The sequence below is a fragment of the Homo sapiens genome, chromosome 15 (genome assembly GCF_000001405.40).
Source record: "Homo sapiens chromosome 15, GRCh38.p14 Primary Assembly".
NCBI classification, from domain to species: domain Eukaryota; kingdom Metazoa; phylum Chordata; class Mammalia; order Primates; family Hominidae; genus Homo; species Homo sapiens.
This window is the reverse complement of record NC_000015.10, coordinates 52,786,594-52,806,944: the sequence shown is the minus strand read 5'-3', so window position 1 is coordinate 52,806,944 and position 20,351 is coordinate 52,786,594. Positions and strand designations below refer to the sequence as shown.

At 54.2% G+C, this 20,351-nt stretch overlaps 1 protein-coding gene and 3 long non-coding RNA genes across 14 annotated transcripts in view, besides 6 other annotated features; 2 read left to right on the top strand and 2 right to left on the bottom strand.

Moving 5' to 3' along the window:
• Nucleotides 1–3,193, bottom strand: part of LOC107983981 (uncharacterized) — a 417,903-nt gene extending 414,710 nt beyond the window's left edge. For 5 of the 6 annotated variants that reach the window (XR_932257.3, XR_004837531.2, XR_007064641.1 and 2 more), the window contains exon 1: nucleotides 2,321–2,446. This is a non-coding gene — a long non-coding RNA (uncharacterized LOC107983981). Of the gene's footprint in view, nucleotides 1–2,320; nucleotides 2,447–3,122 lie in introns of those variants that run through there. The other variant, XR_004837530.2, reaches the window with a different exon arrangement.
• Nucleotides 506–6,779, top strand: LOC101928499 (uncharacterized). Of its 6 annotated transcripts, none has more exons than NR_187813.1 (4): nucleotides 506–866; nucleotides 2,150–2,451; nucleotides 2,648–2,736; nucleotides 6,028–6,779. It is a non-coding gene; the product is annotated as an uncharacterized LOC101928499 (long non-coding RNA). The 6 variants fall into 6 exon arrangements; NR_187814.1 differs by having other exon boundaries at nucleotides 506–1,160; nucleotides 3,098–6,779; NR_187812.1 differs by lacking the exon at nucleotides 506–866 and adding an exon at nucleotides 1,200–1,276 and having other exon boundaries at nucleotides 3,098–6,779.
• Nucleotides 11,136–11,831: an enhancer, noted in NCBI's record as "H3K27ac-H3K4me1 hESC enhancer chr15:53087311-53088006 (GRCh37/hg19 assembly coordinates)". NCBI's record gives its function as "activates a minimal SCP1, AML or CMV promoter by ChIP-STARR-seq in naive H9 embryonic stem cells {active_cell/tissue: H9 hESC(naive)}" and the evidence as "EXISTENCE:reporter gene assay evidence [ECO:0000049][PMID:30033119]".
• LOC105370824 (uncharacterized) lies at nucleotides 11,539–16,515 on the bottom strand. Its single transcript, XR_001751550.2, has 2 exons — nucleotides 14,256–16,515; nucleotides 11,539–12,594 (listed from the first exon to the last, which is right to left on the bottom strand). It is a non-coding gene; the product is annotated as an uncharacterized LOC105370824 (long non-coding RNA).
• Nucleotides 11,832–12,529: an enhancer, noted in NCBI's record as "H3K27ac-H3K4me1 hESC enhancer chr15:53086613-53087310 (GRCh37/hg19 assembly coordinates)". NCBI's record gives its function as "activates a minimal SCP1, AML or CMV promoter by ChIP-STARR-seq in primed H9 embryonic stem cells {active_cell/tissue: H9 hESC(primed)}" and the evidence as "EXISTENCE:reporter gene assay evidence [ECO:0000049][PMID:30033119]".
• Nucleotides 14,786–15,553: an enhancer, noted in NCBI's record as "H3K4me1 hESC enhancer chr15:53083589-53084356 (GRCh37/hg19 assembly coordinates)". NCBI's record gives its function as "activates a minimal SCP1, AML or CMV promoter by ChIP-STARR-seq in naive H9 embryonic stem cells {active_cell/tissue: H9 hESC(naive)}" and the evidence as "EXISTENCE:reporter gene assay evidence [ECO:0000049][PMID:30033119]".
• Nucleotides 15,554–16,322: an enhancer, noted in NCBI's record as "H3K4me1 hESC enhancer chr15:53082820-53083588 (GRCh37/hg19 assembly coordinates)". NCBI's record gives its function as "activates a minimal SCP1, AML or CMV promoter by ChIP-STARR-seq in naive H9 embryonic stem cells {active_cell/tissue: H9 hESC(naive)}" and the evidence as "EXISTENCE:reporter gene assay evidence [ECO:0000049][PMID:30033119]".
• Nucleotides 16,319–16,613: an enhancer, noted in NCBI's record as "tiled region #217; HepG2 Activating non-DNase unmatched - State 4:PromP, and K562 Activating non-DNase unmatched - State 4:PromP". NCBI's record gives its function as "activates a minimal TATA promoter and a strong SV40 promoter by Sharpr-MPRA in HepG2 and K562 cells {active_cell/tissue: HepG2 | K562}" and the evidence as "EXISTENCE:reporter gene assay evidence [ECO:0000049][PMID:27701403]".
• Nucleotides 16,502–16,571: a silencer, noted in NCBI's record as "silent region_6451". NCBI's record gives its function as "represses an Ori minimal core promoter by ATAC-STARR-seq in GM12878 lymphoblastoid cells {active_cell/tissue: GM12878}" and the evidence as "EXISTENCE:reporter gene assay evidence [ECO:0000049][PMID:35858748]".
• The window catches only part of ONECUT1 (one cut homeobox 1), a 35,284-nt gene continuing 31,541 nt past the window's right edge, over nucleotides 16,609–20,351 (top strand). The window contains exon 1 of the mRNA NM_004498.4: nucleotides 16,609–18,165. Within this exon, the coding sequence (NP_004489.1) occupies nucleotides 17,061–18,165 (1,105 nt within the window). The 5' untranslated portion in view covers nucleotides 16,609–17,060. The remainder of the gene's footprint in view (nucleotides 18,166–20,351) is intronic.

The following is a 20,351-nucleotide window of genomic DNA, read 5'->3' as shown; positions in this document are numbered from 1 at the left end:
GACTTCATCACCAGCACATAAATGGAGTTGTCTATAGCTAGCAGAGTCTCATCACCACTCACACACATTTGGGTAAACACAGTTATGGGCGAAAAGTCTGGAATATTTTACAGACTCTCTCCACACTGGCCCAGCAGTTTCACAGTCATATTTAATAAATGCACTCCTTTCCCCAAAACTAAAAATATTAAAACTTTCTGAGGACTTTTCGTTTGTTTTGGCTATAATTAACATTTTTCTAATTTGCGGGTATTTTGTCTGCTATTCCTATGAAGAAGTGAGCACAAAAAACATTTTGAACCTTCTTCATATGGGTGCATCTAAGTTCCCTCTCTTACTTTCCCCCTTTGGACAATCTGGCCTTCTCTAGAGGGAGGGCTGGCGTGAAAGGGTTAAAGGTTCTCTGGTCAAAATAGCCCAACAGAAGGAGCTGGGCCCAGAGCTGAAATCTAAGTGCTAATGACCGTTGCCCTTCACCCTACTGCTGTCCACTGGCCGGACCTGCGGCCGGGTGGGGCCCCGGACTGGGAGAGGGCACAATATTCTGCATTTAACATTTGAACTTCTCCTATCCGAGGCAGCAGGCCGTTTTGTCCTGGGGTCGCTGACCCTGGCTCCCCCATCAGCTGCCCTGAAACCTTAATTGAATGACAGATGGTCATTTTCGGGGGCGCCAGAAGCTGCGGGCGGCCAGCGGCGCGGGGACTGCGGCCCCAGGCCCCGGCAGTCCTGCCCGGACTCTGCCAGCAAGGGGCGGGCGGCAGAGGTAGCAGGCGGCTTGCGGAGCTGGCCTAGCCTGCGGGCGCGACGGGATCTGCGGGCGTCGGGCGAACGCGTGGCAACGAGCACCTGGAGGAAACCCCGGCGTAAGAGGCCGCGCGGGCGTTAGATCACCAGGTCCTAGCGTCCCTGCCAATTCCCAGACCGAGGGCCAGACGCAGACTAGGCCCGAGCTAGGCCACCCGGGAGCCTGGCCCGGCCTCCGGCCCTGGAAGGCGGCAGAAAGGAGACAAAACCTCTGTCTTTCTAGGCCGAAGGCCTGAGTTCCAGCATCCTGGGTCCCCACGCGTCGGGGTCTGGGGCCAAGACCGCCCACAGTCGGCGCCCAAGCCCAAGACGCCCATCCCGGACCTGGCCTTCCCGCCAGGGCCCGCGCGCAGGTCGGGAAAAGGCTAAATCCCGCGTGCTGCCTACCCTACGCGCCCAGCGGCGCCTTCTCGCCAGCGCCATGCCGGGCCGGAACCCAGTGGGCCTCCACATCCCGGCGGGCCGCCAGGTGGGCCCTGGCTACTGGCCATCCCGCCACCACCCCGCTGCCCGGAGCTTTCTGAGCTCTGGGGTAAAAGGCGCCCCAAAAGGCCCCCGGAGGCACCGCAGCCCAACCGTTCTGCCTCAGCCGCCTGCCGGCGCCCTAGTGTCCTATTTCTTTAAAATAAAAGCTGCGAGCCCTACAATTACTGGGATTACAGTGAGCGGGTATTGATCCGCAGCCGGCATTGTAGGATCAAGCGGGCGGGAGGAGGCAGACATCGCCGCCCCAACCCCCCGCCGCCGCCGCCGCCGCCTCGTCCGGCAAAGCGAAAAAAAAATCTAAATGTTTGATTTCAAACGCACCATCAACACCTGCTGCAAAAGAACGACCCCCCCCGCCACCCAACCCCGCCCTTCCGCACCTCCTCCCCTCTCAGCCCGTGGGCCTCCCAGGCCCTAGCCAGCTATGCCACCACCTTCAGCCTTTTATTTTCTTTTTTTATTTTTTTTTAATTACTGAGGGAAAATATAAACATAAGCAAAAAAAAAAAAAGCCTCCCCTGCAGGCGCGAGCGGGGGTGGCGAGGAGGCCGACGAAGGCGGTAATGCAACCCTAATGCATAGATAGCTGACATCAACTTCCGTCAGGCAGCTCCTGGAGATCGAACCTTTCGATTGTAACTGGGACAATTTGCATAGTGATTCCCTTTCAGAGCTTTCCCGGGTCCATAACAAGCCCAGGCAGCTATTCAAATGCAAGTTGCATCCCCAAATGCGAGGCTGGCCTGACCAAAAAGAGCCAGTCGGCGCCCGGAAGAGGCGAGACTCGCGCTTGGGTTCTCAATCCTTCTCTTTTCTCCTTTCTTTTTCCCTTTCTCCTCTCCGGTTCCTGATTTAGCTGGGAGCTGTTTATTTATGGCTGCAAATGTGTGTGTTCAAGAGAGAGAGGGAATTGATCTTTGCCTGGACTTAAAGATGGAGCCGAAGAAGCTGGAGGGAATTTGGGCTTGTGCGTCTGGCCCAGACCCTGTGCGCCGAGCCCGAGGTCTATCCTCCCCGCACCTCTCACCTCGCGACCTTGCAGGAATCCGCGGGCCCGGATGCTGCCCAGCTGACCCTCCTGCCCCGGGCCTGGCTGCAGAGAAAGTCTTCGGGCAGGAGGCCATCCTGTTCCTGTCTTTAAAATGAGCACAATAAAAGGTATCACCTGCGACGTGTGCTGATTACTTTTTTTTTTTTTTTTTACCTGTGCACGGGGCGTGTTGTGGGGGGTGCGGGGTGGCTCACAGGTTCGGGGGGAGGGAGGAATTAGGGGGCTTGAAATTCAGTTCCCTGTTTCCCTATTTATTTCTCATTTGAAATTATGCAGATTGACTCTCCTTTCCTTCCCTCCTAGGGGGCAAATCCTCGAACGCGAACCTGATCTCATGTCACAGAAGCAACTTGCCATGAAATCCGCTAATGCGCTGCGACTCGCCCACCAGGGTAAGCCAGTCTCACAAGCGTTTGGGGGGGGTGGTGAGGGGGAAGAAGTAGGGGCGGTAGGCCGGGGCAAGGGCTCCGGGGGCCTGGCCACGCTGGTCCACCGCTGAGCTTGTGGCCATGCAAACAGGGTGGAAGCCAGGGGCGGAGGGCAGCGGCCGCGTCACGGCCCGGGAGCCGAGCGGGGGCGCCCCCCTCCCAGCCTGCCAGTCCCGCCACGGCAGCTAACAGTTCCTCCCCATGAGTTTAAAGTAACAAATGAGAGGGGGGCCCCCGAGCAGGGTGTAAATAACACGGGCGTGCCCCGAGCTAGTGGCAACTACAGGAGCACGCGTCTGCGGTTTGTGCGCGTTTCTCCCGCCAGGCAGCGTGCGGCGGCCGAACTGCACCTGCGTTTGTGAGCCTTGTAGAAATGGAGCCCACCGGATTCCCTCACCCGGAGAAATGCCCAAACTGAAACTTGACTACACTTCCCTGGGCTGGTTCACGGTTTCATAATCTCCCAGGTTTGCTGGCTGTGTCACCAAATCCAAGCCAAACCTGCTATAAACATGATCACAGGCCACTGACCTCGCAGCACTGACCGATAACTCGGTGGCAAAATCAGCTCCTCTGGTCAGAGGTTATTAAAGCAGCGGCTGAATTCGTGTTTGTTTTTTTGAAGTGGTCAGAAAAACGTAGTCTTCTTAAACCTACAAAAACAGTCAAACACATTTGCAAATGTGCTTTACTTGTATTGGTTCGAGTGCTGGAAGCTGTCTGGCGGTGAGCTTTTTCGTTGCGTGTGGTTTATGCAGAGCACCCGGGATGTTTTTCTCGTCTTTTACGTCTTGGTATCTTTTAAAAATGTAGAATGTGTCTCTGATTGTTTCACAGTATGTTCCTTAACAACCAGATATGTAAGAAAACGTTTGGGATTGAGTGGTGAGAAAAGCAGACTGGAAAGTACAAATAAACCCAATCCAAATGGAAAACAAATTAAACAGATGAAATGATTATGAAAGAAGATGGGGGAATTAACTTGTCTGGAAAAAATCGAGTTTAGGGTCTGAACTTTACAGATTAAATGGCAACACAGAACAAATCCAAAGGAATTAAATCTATTCTTTTGCCCTCCTAGGCATCTGGGTCAGATGCACATTTTGAGGCATTTCAACAGACAGATCAGCTCTGGGACACTTGCACACTTTTTTGGTAAACTGCAACCTATTACGTGACCTTTAATCCTGGTGGAAAACAATTTAAAATGTATTCCTGGCTTTAGGAAACAAAAGAAAAATTTTAAACCCTGGCAGTTAAATTATTACTGGTCTCTACAGGGTTAATTTAATGTAAATAATCTACTCTCCTGAGGGAAAAGGTGGAGGCCTGGCATTCTGGAAGGGCCAGTCAGGTGGTGACAAAACTGTGTGCCTTGGGGTTTTGAGGGGTGTGTTGGGTGGCTCTGAACCTGGCTTTGGGTTTGTTACATCTCTCGCTCTCTTAAAACAGTAACTCAAGATGTAAGTAAAAGTGTTTTCATTTTTTATTGATCCTGCTAACATCTTTCATTATCCAGCATGTAGCCACAGCAAATTATTGCTCATTTGATACTGAGAATTCTATTGACCATCGCTTTCGTTGGAGAGAGAATTCTAACTACTCGGCTGCTCTGTCATCAGTCAGAGCTAAGGCTGAGGACTTTCCACCACTAAAACCAAAATAAATTGAGCCTTCTGCCTCCAGAAATTGATAGAGATGTGTTCATTACATTGGGCCACATGAGCATGCATAGAAATCTGCTTTTTACTCTCCCAGCCTTGCCCCCACTCAGGCAATAGGTCGGCCCCTTTGGAACAGAACTGTCTATTTGAAGGGCTGGGCATTCGTTTGCTTTTCCTGTATCCCTTCTGGCAACTTCTTTCCAGCTGTGGCCAGGTTGGGGCAATGAAATGATGCAATGGGAGACTCCTCCTCAGTCCTGTGGTCAAAGCCACCTTGACTTGCTTAAGCTTAGAGAAATCATTAAAATCTCAAAAACAAAAACAAACAAAAAACCTCCTAAAATGTCCAGATAGGTCACTTTATGGTCTGGATATAATTTCCTAAATTAAACTGCTCCACCCCCATCAAGACCCCACATAATCAAAGAGCAGAGCGGCTAAGTTGGGAAGCGAAGGTTAAGCTCTGGGGTATGCGCCTGTTCACTCTGGAAATGGGCGTCCAGCGGGAATGATAGGCCTGGGCGACTCGTGCACTCACACCAGCCCAAGCGGAAAGGAAGTCTGGGCCTAGAGAAGGCCTGACCTTTGACCCTTGGCCCGGCAGCTCCGGGGTGCTAGAGTCTGCAGAGGGAGGCGGGTTGGGAGACGAGGCTAGACAGGGGCCCGCAGGGCAATAGGAAAGGCTGGGTTTGTTCCCCAGGAAGCTAGTGGAGTAATCTACCTTGACGCAGAAAGGAGCTGGAGCTGCCCCACAGCAGGGGCCACCCGACGCCCGACCCTCTGGCTGCCTTCACCATCCCAGAGGCGGGCAGGTCAGGCCTGTCTGTTGGGATCCAGGCTCCCTTGCCACTTCCCTTCCAGCATCTGGGGAAAAGACGCCCTGACTCAAGGGTGTTCTGGCCCCGCACGACGGGGGGCGAAGAGAGACAAAAGTCGAGCCTAACAGCAGGCGGCTGCTGAGCTGGCGGGTCTTGGGCCACTGCTAGTCCAGCGTTGGCGTCCAGCGGGGCCTGTCACCTTTACAAGTAACAAGGGACCATATCCGCTTCTCCTTAAGCCCTGGACCCCAAGGGGAGGCCAGGACGACCTTGCAGGAGCCATGCCCCCTGGGGATTCTATGGAGGAGATTGTTTGGTTGGGTTTCATTTGCATCAATACCAGGAGATGAACCCTCTGGGTTTGGCTTCAGAACAAACGGAGGACCAATTAACGCCTGTACAAATTAGTCCCTGGCGTGTGCAACCCGCCAAACAACGCCAGTTCCAAATCGGAAGGCACGTTTAGGGACTCTCAGGGACCCGGCTTGGTAGTTATTTTTCCAATGGTGCTGTTAAGTGTGAGTGAAGCTATTTGCACTCTCGCGGGCCTCGCTCCAAGACCCCTGGCACGATGGGGAGCCACTTTGTTCCGGAGGAAGGCAGCGGATGAATAGGAACCCTGGCTGCGCACATGGACCCTAACCCAAGAGCAGCAGCAGCAGCAGCAGCGGAAAGACACGGGTAGTCTGATTCGGCTTGGGGAACGGAAGGGGAGTGTAAGATGAGATACACACCGGATTTTTTTAGTTTTTCCTTTTTTGTTTTTAACGTAGATAAATAACCCCATCGTCCGTGTAATCAGCACGTTCCCAATGAAGTCGTTTTCCTAGAATGCGCTCTCCGCCTGCCACACTTGAGGAATCCAGCCCACAGAGGTTTCGGAAACCCAGTTTGAGTGATTCCAGCCTAGACTGAAACCCTGAGAGCCTCCCAGGAAAGAGAGCCCGGCCTGGGCCAAGCAGTCGGACACACACACACACACACACACACACACACACACACACACACACACACACACGGACTGCGTAGCTCTTCGCAGGATCGAAGGCTGGATGCGGATCTGGGAGGCGGTGGCTAAGCGAACCAGGAAGACTGTGACGGAAACCAATACAGCAGTGTCATCTTGAAAGTTATTTGGAAGAACAGGACCTGGAGTCTGGGTTTGAATCAAAAAATTGTGAGCAAGGGACAGATCACCCTGTATTTCTCTGGAACGAGGCAGAACTGAGACCTGCTCAGCTGAACCAGCGTGGCCACATATTGGGGACTAGGAAATTGTTCTCAGACACTGTAGCACACACATCCTCTGACAGCGAGCTCACTCCTGCGCAGTGGGCTTCTGGTTCTGCCACTGCACTCCACAAACGCCCTACAGGCCTCCTCCAGGTTTTGCCAGGCAAATGAAACGAGCACAACTCGATAGTAAATTATTTTGTTCAGCCTTCTCTCTTTTTATGAAAATAAGAGGCAACACTTTGTCATTTTTAATCACATAAGCAGACAATAAATCTAATTTTGATATTGATTTTTTTTCCAGAATCCAGTGATTTTTTGTAGTGGCTGTTGTGTTTCCTTTCTGAAGAAGGGCTGTTTTCTTTTAGACTGTGTGGCAACGGGGCTGCGTCTATGCAGGCTGGTGCTTATCTGAAACACGTTGTGGACTTTGAAGCCAGATAGCTGACAAGGGATTTTTCCTGGGTGGAAGGAAGTTTGGGTTTTGTCTGAGACAGTGATTTGAATGGGCCGCCCCGGTGCCCTAGACTAGATTTAAGGCTCTGACGGTGCTTTTAGGGGTTACAGCATTTGAGATTGACAGGCTCAAGTTTTTCTCCAAATAAAATCAAATAAATAAAAATAAAAACAACCCCCAAATCTTGCTGATGTCAGGGGCCCAGATGGCACCGTGGGAATATTACTTAGCAAGAGGAATGCAACCTCCACGGATGTCAGAAATGTACCACGCTCAGGAAAGGGGCACGACCCTGCACAGGTTATGGACTGAAGCCTAACTGAGAAACATCAGGAAAGGCCAGTTACAGCGAAAGGGCCCCAGAAGCTTAGGTGCCGCCTCTGCATCCTGAGGCTCACCTGGCACTCTCCTTTCTTTCTCCTTTTTTTCAGAAACAGGATTAGTTTGTCATGCCAAATGGACTGGCACCCTTCATATAAAAGTCTGGAGGTGCAGAGACCTGCACCAGGCTCCCCTGTAGAGAAGGAGGGAGGGGATGAGAGAAGAAAGCTAGGGAGAAGGAAAGAATAAGACAGGGGTGGAGAAAAAGAAAGAAAAAAGGAGGGAGGGGGGAAGGGAGAAGAAAATAAGAAAGGAGTGATAGAGAAGGAAGAAAAGAATGGAGGGAGGGAACCAATGAGAGAGAAAGGAAGGGAGGGAGTAAAAGGGAGAGAGAGAAAGGAAGACGGGAGGGAGAGAAGGAAGAAAAACAGCTCTTAAAAGACCTAATAAAAAACACAAAATTACCCGGTCTTTTCTAGGAAATTGTAATTGCCCTGGTGGACCACCTGGGCCTTTGCCTGCAGTACCAGACGGCCTCTCCTCCCTTCTGAGGCACTGAGCAAATGACAGCCCCTGTGTAAATTAAAAGCTCCTCAACTTTCCGCACCAATCAGAAAGACTGGACTCAGGGCACCCCCGACCACACCGCCAGGCCGGGACACCACCGGCTACCCTAGCATTGCATCGCCCCATCCCACTGCGGCCAGGGGTCGCCCCTCTCCCTCACTCAGCTTCGCCTCCAAGGGCCCAGGACCCTAGCTAGGGGGAGGGGACCTGGCGGCTCTACCCCCAGCAGTGGGGGATGGGAACTCGGGCCTGAGATTGACCCTCGGGCTCTGAACTTTCCCGCGGTCCTCCAGGGTCAGGATTTAACCTTTCGCTCCCCCACCCCCTCTGTTTCTCCTCCTCCCTCTCAGTGGCCCTTGACTAGGGGAAAACCGAGAGTGGGTCGATATTTGGGGCCAGTGGGTAAGTGGGGGCGGCGCCTGTGCCGAATTACAGGAGAATTGGGCCCAGACCTGAGCGCTCACTCTCCTCTAGCCCGGGAACAGCTAGCCTAGAATGTCCCGCGCTTGCTGGGAGCCTTATGCCAAGGCCCAATTAAACCCCGGGCCTGGTAAAGAACCCACGGAGGCACGGGGGACGGGGGAGGAGGGTGAGCGCCTTTTCCAGTTTTCCTACCGTGTTTAGAACGATTTCTCTTCATATAAAGCCTTCCCTCTCCTGCTCAGGCACCAGCCACCCGTTTGCATTTTGGGGATCCCGAAAGCCTTGGCCAGATGGGCAGGAGGCCACAGTGCAGAGCCCGACCTGGGCCCCCGACAAGACCGCAGAATTTGAGCGGGTGCCAAGAGAACCAGTGAAGAAAGTGAACCCAAATCCCAGACCGCTGGGCACCACTAACCCGGCTTTCTGTCCCCGCCTGGACAGCAGGGACCAACTCTGTCCCTGCCCCATTCCACCAACTTTCCAAAGCTTCTGCGAGCAGCGCCCTAGAGGGCTCTTCCGGCGGGGACGGAGGAAGAGGGGCGGCAAGCCGGAGGCTGCCTAGGCAAGCAGAGCGCCCCCCGCCCCCCAGCTCTCCGTGGCTTGGGGTTTTCGCGGTCTCCCCAGCTGGAGCCGGGGCTGCCAGGAGCCGAGAGCGTTAGGTTCAAATGCATCAAGGCTCTGAAGTCATTTATCCGGTTTCATAAATAATTTTCTTATTACACTTAAGCCCGATTCCTGCCCCCTTCCCGTTTTTATTGCGGGGTTTCAGCGGCTAAGAAGTTTCTAAGTCGGGTGGGCCGTTGTTTTCCTTTTTCCATCATTAACATCATTAATATAAGCTATCAATAACCCTGTCGTTGGGAGCCGAGTTTCACGGTATTGATCCACGCAGCTATTCATCTCTGCCATGCAAGACACGGAATAATTTTCGCATTACAGTAGCTTGGATTTGCTTTTAATTCATATTTAAAGCTGCAACCGGCTCAGTGGAGCGCTCTGCGAAAGACTAGAGGCGCCTAATTAATAATAAGTTAGAAACGAAGGAAGGCACCAGCGAATAAATAATTAATACAGACATCTATGTCTCTTTGAATATTGCTCCTTTAAAAATTTAGACTTACCAGGACCATACTGTAAGTCTGCAATTTATATTGCGGGGATGATTTAAGAAAGCTATTTTTTTCCTTGAAATACAATACTAAATTATTCACGGTGTTTTGCAAACCTAAGTTCCTTCATTAGCCAGTCCTTCCGGTTTGTTCCTTCCAGGTGGAAAACACCAATTTTTAAAAATAATCAAAATAAGAATCATAAACTCAACAACTGCCAGCTGAGATTAGCTGCAGGTGGCAGCTACGTGAGAGCAGAGCGTGGGGTCTCTTGCCCTAGGGAGGTGCTGGTGGCTGTCACACAAGGGAGATTGTTAGGGAAGGAAAACAACAAAAGCATAAGTCATTGGCCAGTGACTTTGGGCATTTGCTGGTGCTGGAAGGGATGAAGTTTGAGGTAAACTCGAGGTCTTCAAATGGCCCAATTGAAAGGAGGATGGCATTTGAAGGGTCCCAGATTCCACTCACGGCTGAAAAAAAAATGAAAGAAAGAGAGAGAGAAAGAAAGGAAGGAAGGAAAAGAAAAGAAAAAAGAAAAGAAAGAAAAGGAAAGAAACGAAGAAAGGAAGAAAGAAAGACAAAGAGAAAGAAAAAAAATCAGGAGTTTTAGATAAGGGCTGTTGACAGCCAGCCAGGATTGGATTCTAGACTAGCCAAGGACTGCCAGTAGACTAAAGGTGAATAACAAAATTCAAGGAGGTAGGAGTGACTGAAAATCGGAGGAGGTTTTTGTGTGAGAGAGACCAGGATTTGTTTGCAATGTTGTTAGCAATATTGATTTTTTTTGTTACTCAGATTAATGTATGTTAAACAGGAAAATACAGGCATTAGTCAAGTACATTATAATCATCTATTGTTGAGAGCGAAGTTTCTCAGGTGGTTGATGGAGACCAGGGACTGCGAGGCAGTTCTGGGGGCGTATAAACATTCCAGGCTCAATTTGAGGCAGCCAGAGCCCCAAATGTGGAAAGGAAGACGCAGCTTTACCTCCAGCTCATCTCCCTCTCCCCCTTTTAGAATTACAGCCTCTTATTTAACCAACCCACTACCCGGGTGCATCAGCCTCCAACCTCATCCTCCCTGCTGAGCTAAATGATTAGCGGAATTAAGGAGTGGAGGTGTTCTTGGCCACTCGGGTGGCCCAAACTTCCTCACCCCACCGGTCCATCTGCCCCGCAGCCCCACCTCGAGGTCTCTTGGCCCTGGTAAGCATCCTTCCAACCCTGTGGAGCCTCGATTCAGGGCTGGTGGGGCTCCTGAAACCCAGCGTTGGTGGCATGAGGGCCAGGCATGGCGCAGAACCAGACTGTCTACACATACACAGGCGTCCACACCTGTTAGGCCTGAAAAAGACTCCGGGTGAGGAGGGAGGTGCAGGAGCAGCAATTCAGAAGCGCCTGGAGAACCTCCTAGCTGCACCCCTGGACCTTGGGAGATAACCTGGCCCAGAGAAGCATGCATCAGAGAGTGCAGTCACCACACAACAGTCAGCTGGGAAGCCCCCCACGAATTCCCCCCACAACATCCTCCCTCCCGCCGTTAGACCCAATTCCCCGCCCTGCAAACGGGTTTTAGGGACCAAGGCTATACTCTCAGCTTTTCCTCTCAACCCCCGTCCTGCGCCGTGGGTCACTGCATTTACCGGGAGAGACTCAGGCAGACCCCGCCCGCAGGTAAAAGTCTTTTCCAAGCTCCACAGAAGCCAAAGAGCTCGCATAGGACCCCTCGGGTCTTGGGCTGGTTCAGGAAGGGGTAAGAGAGTGAGGGTCCAGGGAAAAGACAACTGGGCGCTTGGCGAGTCCCTAATTCTACACCCAGATGGCTCTCAGGCCAAAAGGCAGGTGCGCTCGCCCAGAATCCTGGGTGTCCCACAATCAGAAGCCGTTTCTCGTGCCAGCCACGGGGGTAAAGAACGGGGGGATGAGGAGATCGAGACTCGGAAGGCCGACAGGGCTGGAAGGGCAAGAAAACAAGGTAAAGTGTGGAAAAGTGTGAAGGGGAAGGAGGGTTGAAGAGGGAGGCAAAGAGGAGATTAGGCCTGGAGAAAGCAAAAGCCCCGACCTGGCCTAGCAGGCCCCGGAGGGAGTCGAAGGCAACGGGTGGGGAGCCCGGAACACCGGCGTTTCATTTTTAAATCTTCTAGGTGTCTGCGGGTCAAATAAAGACAAGGGCAGTAACGATTATTCTGTTAAATCTACGGTACTTGACTGCGCAAACACTAATTGATTAGACACCAAAATGATTTGTTTAAAGAGTTTTCCTTCCCAAGTGCAGCTGCTGCTCTTGGGCCGGGGTCGGCATTACCCGGCATTAGCTAAGTGGGCCGCGAGCTCGGCCGCCCAGTCCTCAGCCGCCCTCGGGTGGGGTGGCTGGTCCAAGCCCCGTGGATCAGAGGCTCCCGGCTGGACAGCCACCCTCCGCTTCCGCCCTTCCCTGTCCCTCCAGGGCGAGAGAATGGTGCGCCTGAAGATCGTCCTGGGCCGACTTTGCCCTCCGTCCGCCCCTTCTGGGTTTTCCTCATTTCGGGTCGCTTGGAACTACATCCGTCGGTGCAAGAGTTCTCTCGTCCTTCCCCTTGTCCTCTCCAGCCCCTAAACTTGGCATCTCTACCCCAGCGCGGGGCTAATGGAATGCAGGGCCCCAGCGGGGGAGGCACCAGAAGAGGAGCATTAACCGCCACCCCAAATCCGGACAATTCAACGCCCTCGCGGCTTGAGCTGGTGTCTTTTGTAGACTATTTCAATGATATGAAGTTATGTCCAAGAAAGAAATCCCACTGAACTGTTGGCTAGACGAGGCCAACTCCTCCGGAAGTGGGCTGGCAGCGGCCAGCGAGGGGTCCTGCTGCAGAAGAACACCCCAGGAGCCTGGAATCCCTCCCTCAGCCCTACGGCATCAGTATACCTTTCCTCCCTTCAGCGCTCTTGGCTTGAAGCCGTGAAAAAGCCCTCGCGGAATTAGGCGACCGCCAAAACGGATTCCAACCCAGGAGAAGCCGCCTGTAGTTTACCCGAGGACCCAGGAGAGCAAGCGTGTTCTTTTTTCCCCAGCGCAGGAAGTAACCAGAGATACGAGCCGAGTGGTCTGGTGTCCTGGGATGGCCGCCCAGGCAGCCCTCGGCAACTCCCAGAACGTGGAGTTAGTTGCGGATGGCACCAGCTGACAGCCCTTTGACAGAGCATCTTCTCTTTGGGATATGGAAGGGCAAGAAGTAGATAAAACAGAGGAAACTGCAAAAAAAAAAAAAAAAAAAAAAAAAAAGCCCAATTTAAAAATATTTTCTTGGGCAAAAACTGTAATTTGAGAAAGAAAAATGTTACCGAACATATGAATAAAATGATACGCTAAACAGAGTATCAAAGATTGAAGCAAGGGGCTACCATAATTAGTTACCACTTCCTTGGTCCCCAGAGAGTGGAGAGAAGTCATTGAGTGATTTTTTTTTAATGGTTTTCAATAGTGAGTCACCAGGCCACCCCATTCTGAATTTCTTGGTGTTCTACTCTAAGCCTGCAGCAATTTTCTGAATAAAATTTCTCTAGAAGTGGAACAGGAGAGCTTGCCAGGAAGCACCCAGGACCAAGTCTTTCACTCTCCAGCTATCTAGTGCTCTACTGTAGCCAGATACCAAAGAAATGGTTCCTCCCCACAAGTTTAATGTTAGACTAGCTACAGGCATCAGAAATGCCAGTGAATATGCCCTGGGGCTCTAGCCAAGGAGCCAGCCTCCCCCTGGATCCCTGGGTGGAGGAATTTGCCCTGACACCCAGGATCTCGCTCTTTGTGAGTCCAAAAAATGGGAAGTAGACATTTCATGGTTCGGAGGAGCTAGAAACATTTCTTTGGAATGGTCCTGAGAACTGGGACTGGGCCATACGTTACGCCTCTACTACTCACAAAAATAATTAAAGCATTAATTCTGAAACCAATGGAAGGTTTTCAGAGAAGCTCATGTGGCCAGTATTTGGAGGAATGGTTTTATTCTCTTTGCGCTTTTTCTTTGCTGAACCTGGTAGGGCAGCGTGGTAAGCTCTAGCCTACCTAGCAAAAGAAGGATTGCCCCTGTCCATCTCATATCCCAGGTTCTTCTCCTGACATTTACAAAATAAACATCCTAAGTTCCTTGTTTTCACTCTGAAAATATTGTCAGCAACAAGCATCCAGTCATAGTCTTATTTCCTTTTTTCTTACATATATACATTATGTAATTTTCTGCTAGTGATTGACACTATTTTTTTCTTTAAATTTCCTGCAGCTACTCAAAATCTAAGCAGCTAAAAATAAGTCCTCCTCCTCAATCACACACATTGACCTACACCTACCAAGTTTCCAGGGACTCCTCTGTGGACTCTTAATTCCTTCAATCCCCATAGTGTACCTAATGGGTGCCAGGCTCTGTTCTGGGCACTGGAAGGGGGAAAGAAGGAGAGGGACAAAACGACAGAAAGTAGTCCCAGCCTTCCAGCAGTTAACAATCTCTCTAGTGCCCGTCCTCCCTCCACACATGCAAATTCACCTTAACTAGGCCTAAGAAGAGCATTCTTCCTACCCGTCACTTCCTTAGTAAGAAGAAAAATTTTGAGAGGTCAAATAAGAACACAGTAATATGTTGTTTCTGACTGAGAAACCACTGCAACTCAGTCAATTACGGGAGAACAATGGTTAGATAAATGGTGTGAATAGCCAAGAAAGATTAGGGAGATTTGCAAACCAAAGCAAATCCTGCACATACAATATTTTAATGTTTTAGAAAAAAATCAAAAATTACTGAGCAAGCCAACACATATGGTGCTTCTCCAGGTCTTTTCGTTGGCTCCTTCTTTAGGGACCAACACAGAGCCAGCCCCCCTTTTCATAAATGCCCTTGGGGGAGAGGGGAAGTTGAGCTCACCTGATGCCAGCCTTATTCAGGTGGACTCCAGAGGCTCAGCTGAGTGCCTCTCATGAAGGAGGGTTTCCAAGATCAAGTTCCTAATTAGCTACACAAAGAGAAAACCATGAACAATTTGTGCACTTGGTGGTATTTACTTCTTTCTTTCTTTTAACAAACTGCCTTTTGGGAAGATAGTTGTCATAAGGGCAAATCAATCACTTCAGCGGGATTAAAATATTGGGGCGGGGGCGGGGGGACAACTGTTTAGCTGAAAGACTCCCTGCTACTTTAACCCATTGTTTGGTCTCATGCTGTAGGAAATGAGAATGGAAACAATTAAAAACCAAAGATGCAGCTTTCCACCAAGGTACTGTAATATACTAGGCAGGAAATATATGTTTTGTGCTTGTGTGTATGCGTGTATGAATAGGTAGATATAGATACAAGTTTAAAGAGTTAATCGTGTTTTCTGAGTTCCTTTACATCAGTGTATTTTCCCTAAAATATCTTTTCTTCTCTGGGGGTTCCTAAATTCCTAACTGTTCATTATGAAAGTAGACATGAAATCCATTGAGATGAATTATTTGCAGGGCCTCCATATGCATTGTTTGGACAGGATGGGAGTGCCTCTGGTGATAAAACCAGCTAGATTAACCAGTCCCAGGACATGGCCGCCTTCAAGGAAGTCACGTTGACTGTATCCACTGAACTTGACCTACCTGGATTAGGATGTTGCCCTGGTGGTAGCAGGGACCTGGGCAAAGAGATAGGCCTACTCATGCCTGGGCCGGTGGGAACTTTTCCCAAAGGGTTGGCCAGCCCAAACTTTTGCCTTGGAAACCCAACTACCACCACTACCACAGCCTTGGCCTCTCTAAGGGCTTGGGAGCATTTGCAGTGGAAACACCACGGGTGGGCTGCAGTTCGGTGCCCCAGCAAGCAAACCTACAGTCTGAGTCTGGCCCAGCACAGGCTACACACACTTTATTCCATATCTGAGTCCAGATACCCCGGCTCTGAGAGGCTATTCTCATTGTAACCACCGCTTGCCTGGGGCTGAGGCTCGGCGCTGACCCGGCCATAACTGCCACGGGCTGGACAATGGGCACATCTGTCCTTTCTCTGAGGGATGAAAGCACCTAAGCGGACACGGCTCTGCCTTTTGTTGCGGATTTTTTTTCTTTCTTTTGTAAATGAAAGAAAGCCGCGGCATGTGGCGGCCGGGTGTACGTCTCAAACTGGGGGCCTCCGCACACGTCCCCACCAGGCCCAAAGACCAGGTTCGATTCCAGATTGGAGCGTGACTGTGGGAAGGGCGAAATTACTCCCGAAGCTGAATTGATTTTCAAATCTGGAGGCGTCTCTCGGGGACGCCGGGAAAAGGGCGTCCCTAGGGGCCAAGCGGAGACCCGCGCGCCGGCGTCCACCCTGTCTGCGTCAGTACTTCTGGAAAGCAACCGCCTCCGGGTGCTTTAGCAGGAGGGCCTTGGGAGTAACCGCAGGGACGGCCCGAGCCTCCACGGCCCCACCAGCACCCGGAAGTTAACATGGGTACCCTCCAGGGCACTCCCTCCGCTCTCCCTCGCCCCCCTCCACAGGCCGAGTCATCGGCGAAGCGGACGCACAGCCTTAATTATGAGCTGAGCGGGAGAAGGAGCCAGGCGGCGGGGGACAGTGAGGTATGGCCCGAACTGGGATTCTTGGCACTGATTACTCCTCTCCCCAGGGCATGGATGAGAAAGGGTGGGCAAGTATGTATCTGGGAGGACGAAGGGTGCCGGGTCAACGGCCGCCAAACGGACCCAGCCCTTTAAGCAATCTGCACCCCACCCCACCCCAACCCCCATCCCCCAATAGGCCGTGAATTCAAGGGTGGGAAAGCGCACTCCCAGCAGCCCCCCGGGAAATAAAGCTTAGTGGGCTAGAGCCGAAGGGGTGATGACACAGTCCCCAGCTCCCCGGGCAAGCTGCACCGGGAAGCAGCAACTGGAGAGAGAGGGGCGATGTCTCCAAGCACAGCACTCCAGCCGCTAGAAGCCCGACACGAGCGTCCCCGGGCTGGGAGGACAGAGCCCACTCAAGCAAGGGAGGCGAGCGAGCCAGGCGCGAGTCTCCTGGGATTGCAGCGGCGGCCCCAGGTCGCGCTCTGCGCCAATCTTTCGCACGTGCCCGCAGCTCCCTGGCCATCCAGCGCCGCAGGGAAGGCGCTGGGCCCCCTCCTTCATTTGTACCGGGACGCCAAGGGCCTGGCGCGCCGCGACCTAGGGGGCGGGGGCGGGCCTCGCGCATGCGCGCTGCGCCTGGCGGGCGTGAGGGCGGGCCGCTGCGGCGGCGGCGGCGGCGGCTACCGAACCGCGGCCACAGAGTCTGTAACAGTAACAGAGCCATGGCTCAAGCTGGCCAGCGGGGCGGGCAGGCAGCAGACGCGGCAGGCGCGCGGGCCGCGGCAGGGGAGCCGGAGACCTCAGAATTTTAAGAAAGAGAGGGGCGAGAGGTGGCCGAGGCGGGCGGGCTGGGGCACTGCGCTCTCCCAACGGCGCGGATCCTCTTTGGAAATTAATATTAAAAAAAAAAAAGCCGAGGACGCAGAGGGGAAGGTGGGGGGTAAGAGGGAAGGCGAGACACACACACACACACACACGCACACGCACACACGGACACACACACACGGAGAGAGAGAGAGAGAGAGACAGAGCCCCACAGTGAGAGGAAGGAAGGCAACAGTCGCCAGCAGCCGATGTGAAGACCGGACTCCGTGCGCCCCTCGCCGCCTCTGCCTGGCCACATCGATGTTGTGTCCGCCGCCTGCTCGCCCGGATCACGATGAACGCGCAGCTGACCATGGAAGCGATCGGCGAGCTGCACGGGGTGAGCCATGAGCCGGTGCCCGCCCCTGCCGACCTGCTGGGCGGCAGCCCCCACGCGCGCAGCTCCGTGGCGCACCGCGGCAGCCACCTGCCCCCCGCGCACCCGCGCTCCATGGGCATGGCGTCCCTGCTGGACGGCGGCAGCGGCGGCGGAGATTACCACCACCACCACCGGGCCCCTGAGCACAGCCTGGCCGGCCCCCTGCATCCCACCATGACCATGGCCTGCGAGACTCCCCCAGGTATGAGCATGCCCACCACCTACACCACCTTGACCCCTCTGCAGCCGCTGCCTCCCATCTCCACAGTCTCGGACAAGTTCCCCCACCATCACCACCACCACCATCACCACCACCACCCGCACCACCACCAGCGCCTGGCGGGCAACGTGAGCGGTAGCTTCACGCTCATGCGGGATGAGCGCGGGCTGGCCTCCATGAATAACCTCTATACCCCCTACCACAAGGACGTGGCCGGCATGGGCCAGAGCCTCTCGCCCCTCTCCAGCTCCGGTCTGGGCAGCATCCACAACTCCCAGCAAGGGCTCCCCCACTATGCCCACCCGGGGGCCGCCATGCCCACCGACAAGATGCTCACCCCCAACGGCTTCGAAGCCCACCACCCGGCCATGCTCGGCCGCCACGGGGAGCAGCACCTCACGCCCACCTCGGCCGGCATGGTGCCCATCAACGGCCTTCCTCCGCACCATCCCCACGCCCACCTGAACGCCCAGGGCCACGGGCAACTCCTGGGCACAGCCCGGGAGCCCAACCCTTCGGTGACCGGCGCGCAGGTCAGCAATGGAAGTAATTCAGGGCAGATGGAAGAGATCAATACCAAAGAGGTGGCGCAGCGTATCACCACCGAGCTCAAGCGCTACAGCATCCCACAGGCCATCTTCGCGCAGAGGGTGCTCTGCCGCTCCCAGGGGACCCTCTCGGACCTGCTGCGCAACCCCAAACCCTGGAGCAAACTCAAATCCGGCCGGGAGACCTTCCGGAGGATGTGGAAGTGGCTGCAGGAGCCGGAGTTCCAGCGCATGTCCGCGCTCCGCTTAGCAGGTGAGCCGGCCAAGGAGCTGGGCGCGCGGGAGATAAGGTACACGAAAGCCGAAGGGACCAAAGGAGGAAGGGTAGGAGAGAGGGCTGGGTGCGCTTCATCCCGCCCGCCCCTACCCCTAGAAGGGGGACTCCCTGTGCCTGGAAGGGCCAGCACAGGGCTGTGGGAGCAAATTGCCTACTCCAGGGCTCAGGGTGTTGGGCTGTGGAAGGCTCCGAGAGCTAAGCGGCCGGGCCTCGGCGACTGAAGAGGCTCATTTGCGCTCAGGGACAGCGAGGGAAGCTCGTACGGCCTGAGGCGGAGAGAAATCCCCGCACCTGGTGAGACACTCTGCGCCACCTCTCAGTTCAGCGATCCGGGTTTGGGAAGAGGGATGCAACGCGTGCGTGGAATCGCACGCAAATGTTCCTCGCAGGTACCTCTGACACATCCCAGGCGCTGGGCTGGAGCGTGCCGGAGCAGCGTCGATGTTTGGCCGAACTGGCTGCTGTGACCCCCTCCCGCGCTCATTCTTTTGGCGCTGGCTGGGGTGACCTCAATCTAAGAGTATGGGCAAAAAGTTTCAGAGCCATTGGGCGGTGGGTGTGTAGCACAGACGAGTTGTAAGGGTTAGGACGCTCTCTGCGCATGGAATTGGCTGTGGAAAGGAGAGGGAGGCTGACCGTCCCAAGGTCCCAGTGAGAGCTGCAAAGCAATAGCCATGTCCTGGGACCGACTCCGCTGCCGACTCCCTGAGGACTTTGCATTTTGTTTTATTATTCCTCTTCGCGATTTTCGTCTGAATCCCCGTGCGGGAGGGGGGTTTGGGGATGAGAGTGTGTAAATGACCCCCAAGTCTAGGAGCAGAGGTCTCCTGCCCGAAACCCCAAGCCCCAGGTGTTTCTGAGTTCAGCTGGAAGCTCTCCTTGGCGCAGCGCAGACACCGCGCCTGGCTCCCCGAGACCGCGGATAGGCAGAGAAGAAAGCTGAGCCCAGCCCGAACCCCACCGGGGATTTCAGGAGGATTCGGCGACCCTTGAGGGTAGAGAACATGAGGGGAGGTAGAGCTAAGGACAGCGGAGGGTGGCCTGGGTTTGATGAGATCCGGCCGGCGGTTGCCAAGTTGATTGACTCCTGGTCCATGCCCCCTCCCCCCCCACTCCCCCACCCCCCACCTCCACCTCCATCTCAGCCCAGCGCCCAGGCCTGAGCCTTGGCGAAGAGAAAAGGTAAAAGCCGGAATGAGGGTTTGTTAATTAACTGATCGTTCTCCATTAATTCGTCCCTGGAGAACGAGAGACAGTCAATCCGCTCTGAGCCGGGGGCACTGAGCCGTTTCACAGTCTAAAATCAAAGCGTGAGGCCAAAGCCCCCTCCTCCAACTCGTGCCTGCCAATGAGAAGCTGGGGGTGGCAGGTGCCGACCAGCCTGCGATTCGTGCCCCGAAGCGACCCAAAGCGTTCTTTGGGTTTGGGCGCTGCAGGCCACCGGTCCCAAAGCACCGCGCTGGCTGAGACTCTGCCCTGCCAGGTTTTCCAGCCCAGCTCTGCCTTCGTTCGCCCCAGGCAAAGTCCTCATGCAGGTTCCTGCAGCCTGCGCCCGGGAACCAGTCAGGGGAGAAGAGGCTCGCTGGGCGCCCCAGCGAATCGCTGGCCCCCGGTTTTCCACTCTCTAGCTCTTGTGCTACCGGCACCATATCTCCACCCGTGGGCTGCCCGCGAGCAACTGAGGTTCCGGAGGGAGTGGGCGAAGGGGCTGCTCCTCGTCCTGACTGCTCCGTCTCTCCAGAGCCCAAGGTAGTGCCTTTTCACACACCCACACCACCCCAGAGCCAGGCTTCAGGGCCTCTTACCCAGGCAGTGCCCGCTGAAGCCAAAGAGTGGAGCGGGGGAATGTGGGAAGAAGATAGAAATGGAGAAGGCTACCCCTCCGGGAAAACTCGGTCCCCATCCCCCACCCCCGCCCCCTGGAGGCTCTTGCTCTGGACTTCAATATCCCTCCTCCCCCCACTGCCTGCTGTCGCCCCCTGGAAGGACAGACTGACACGTTCTGTTCAGAGACGACCTCTGAGCCATGGAAACCTGGCCGCAGGAGCGCCCTCTGACCTCCAAGCGTGGAGAGCTACATAGCCGAGCTCAGGGGACGGCACTGTGGAGGGGGAGGGAGCCTGAGTGCTGGGACCCGCACGCTGGAGGCGCAAACATGGTGC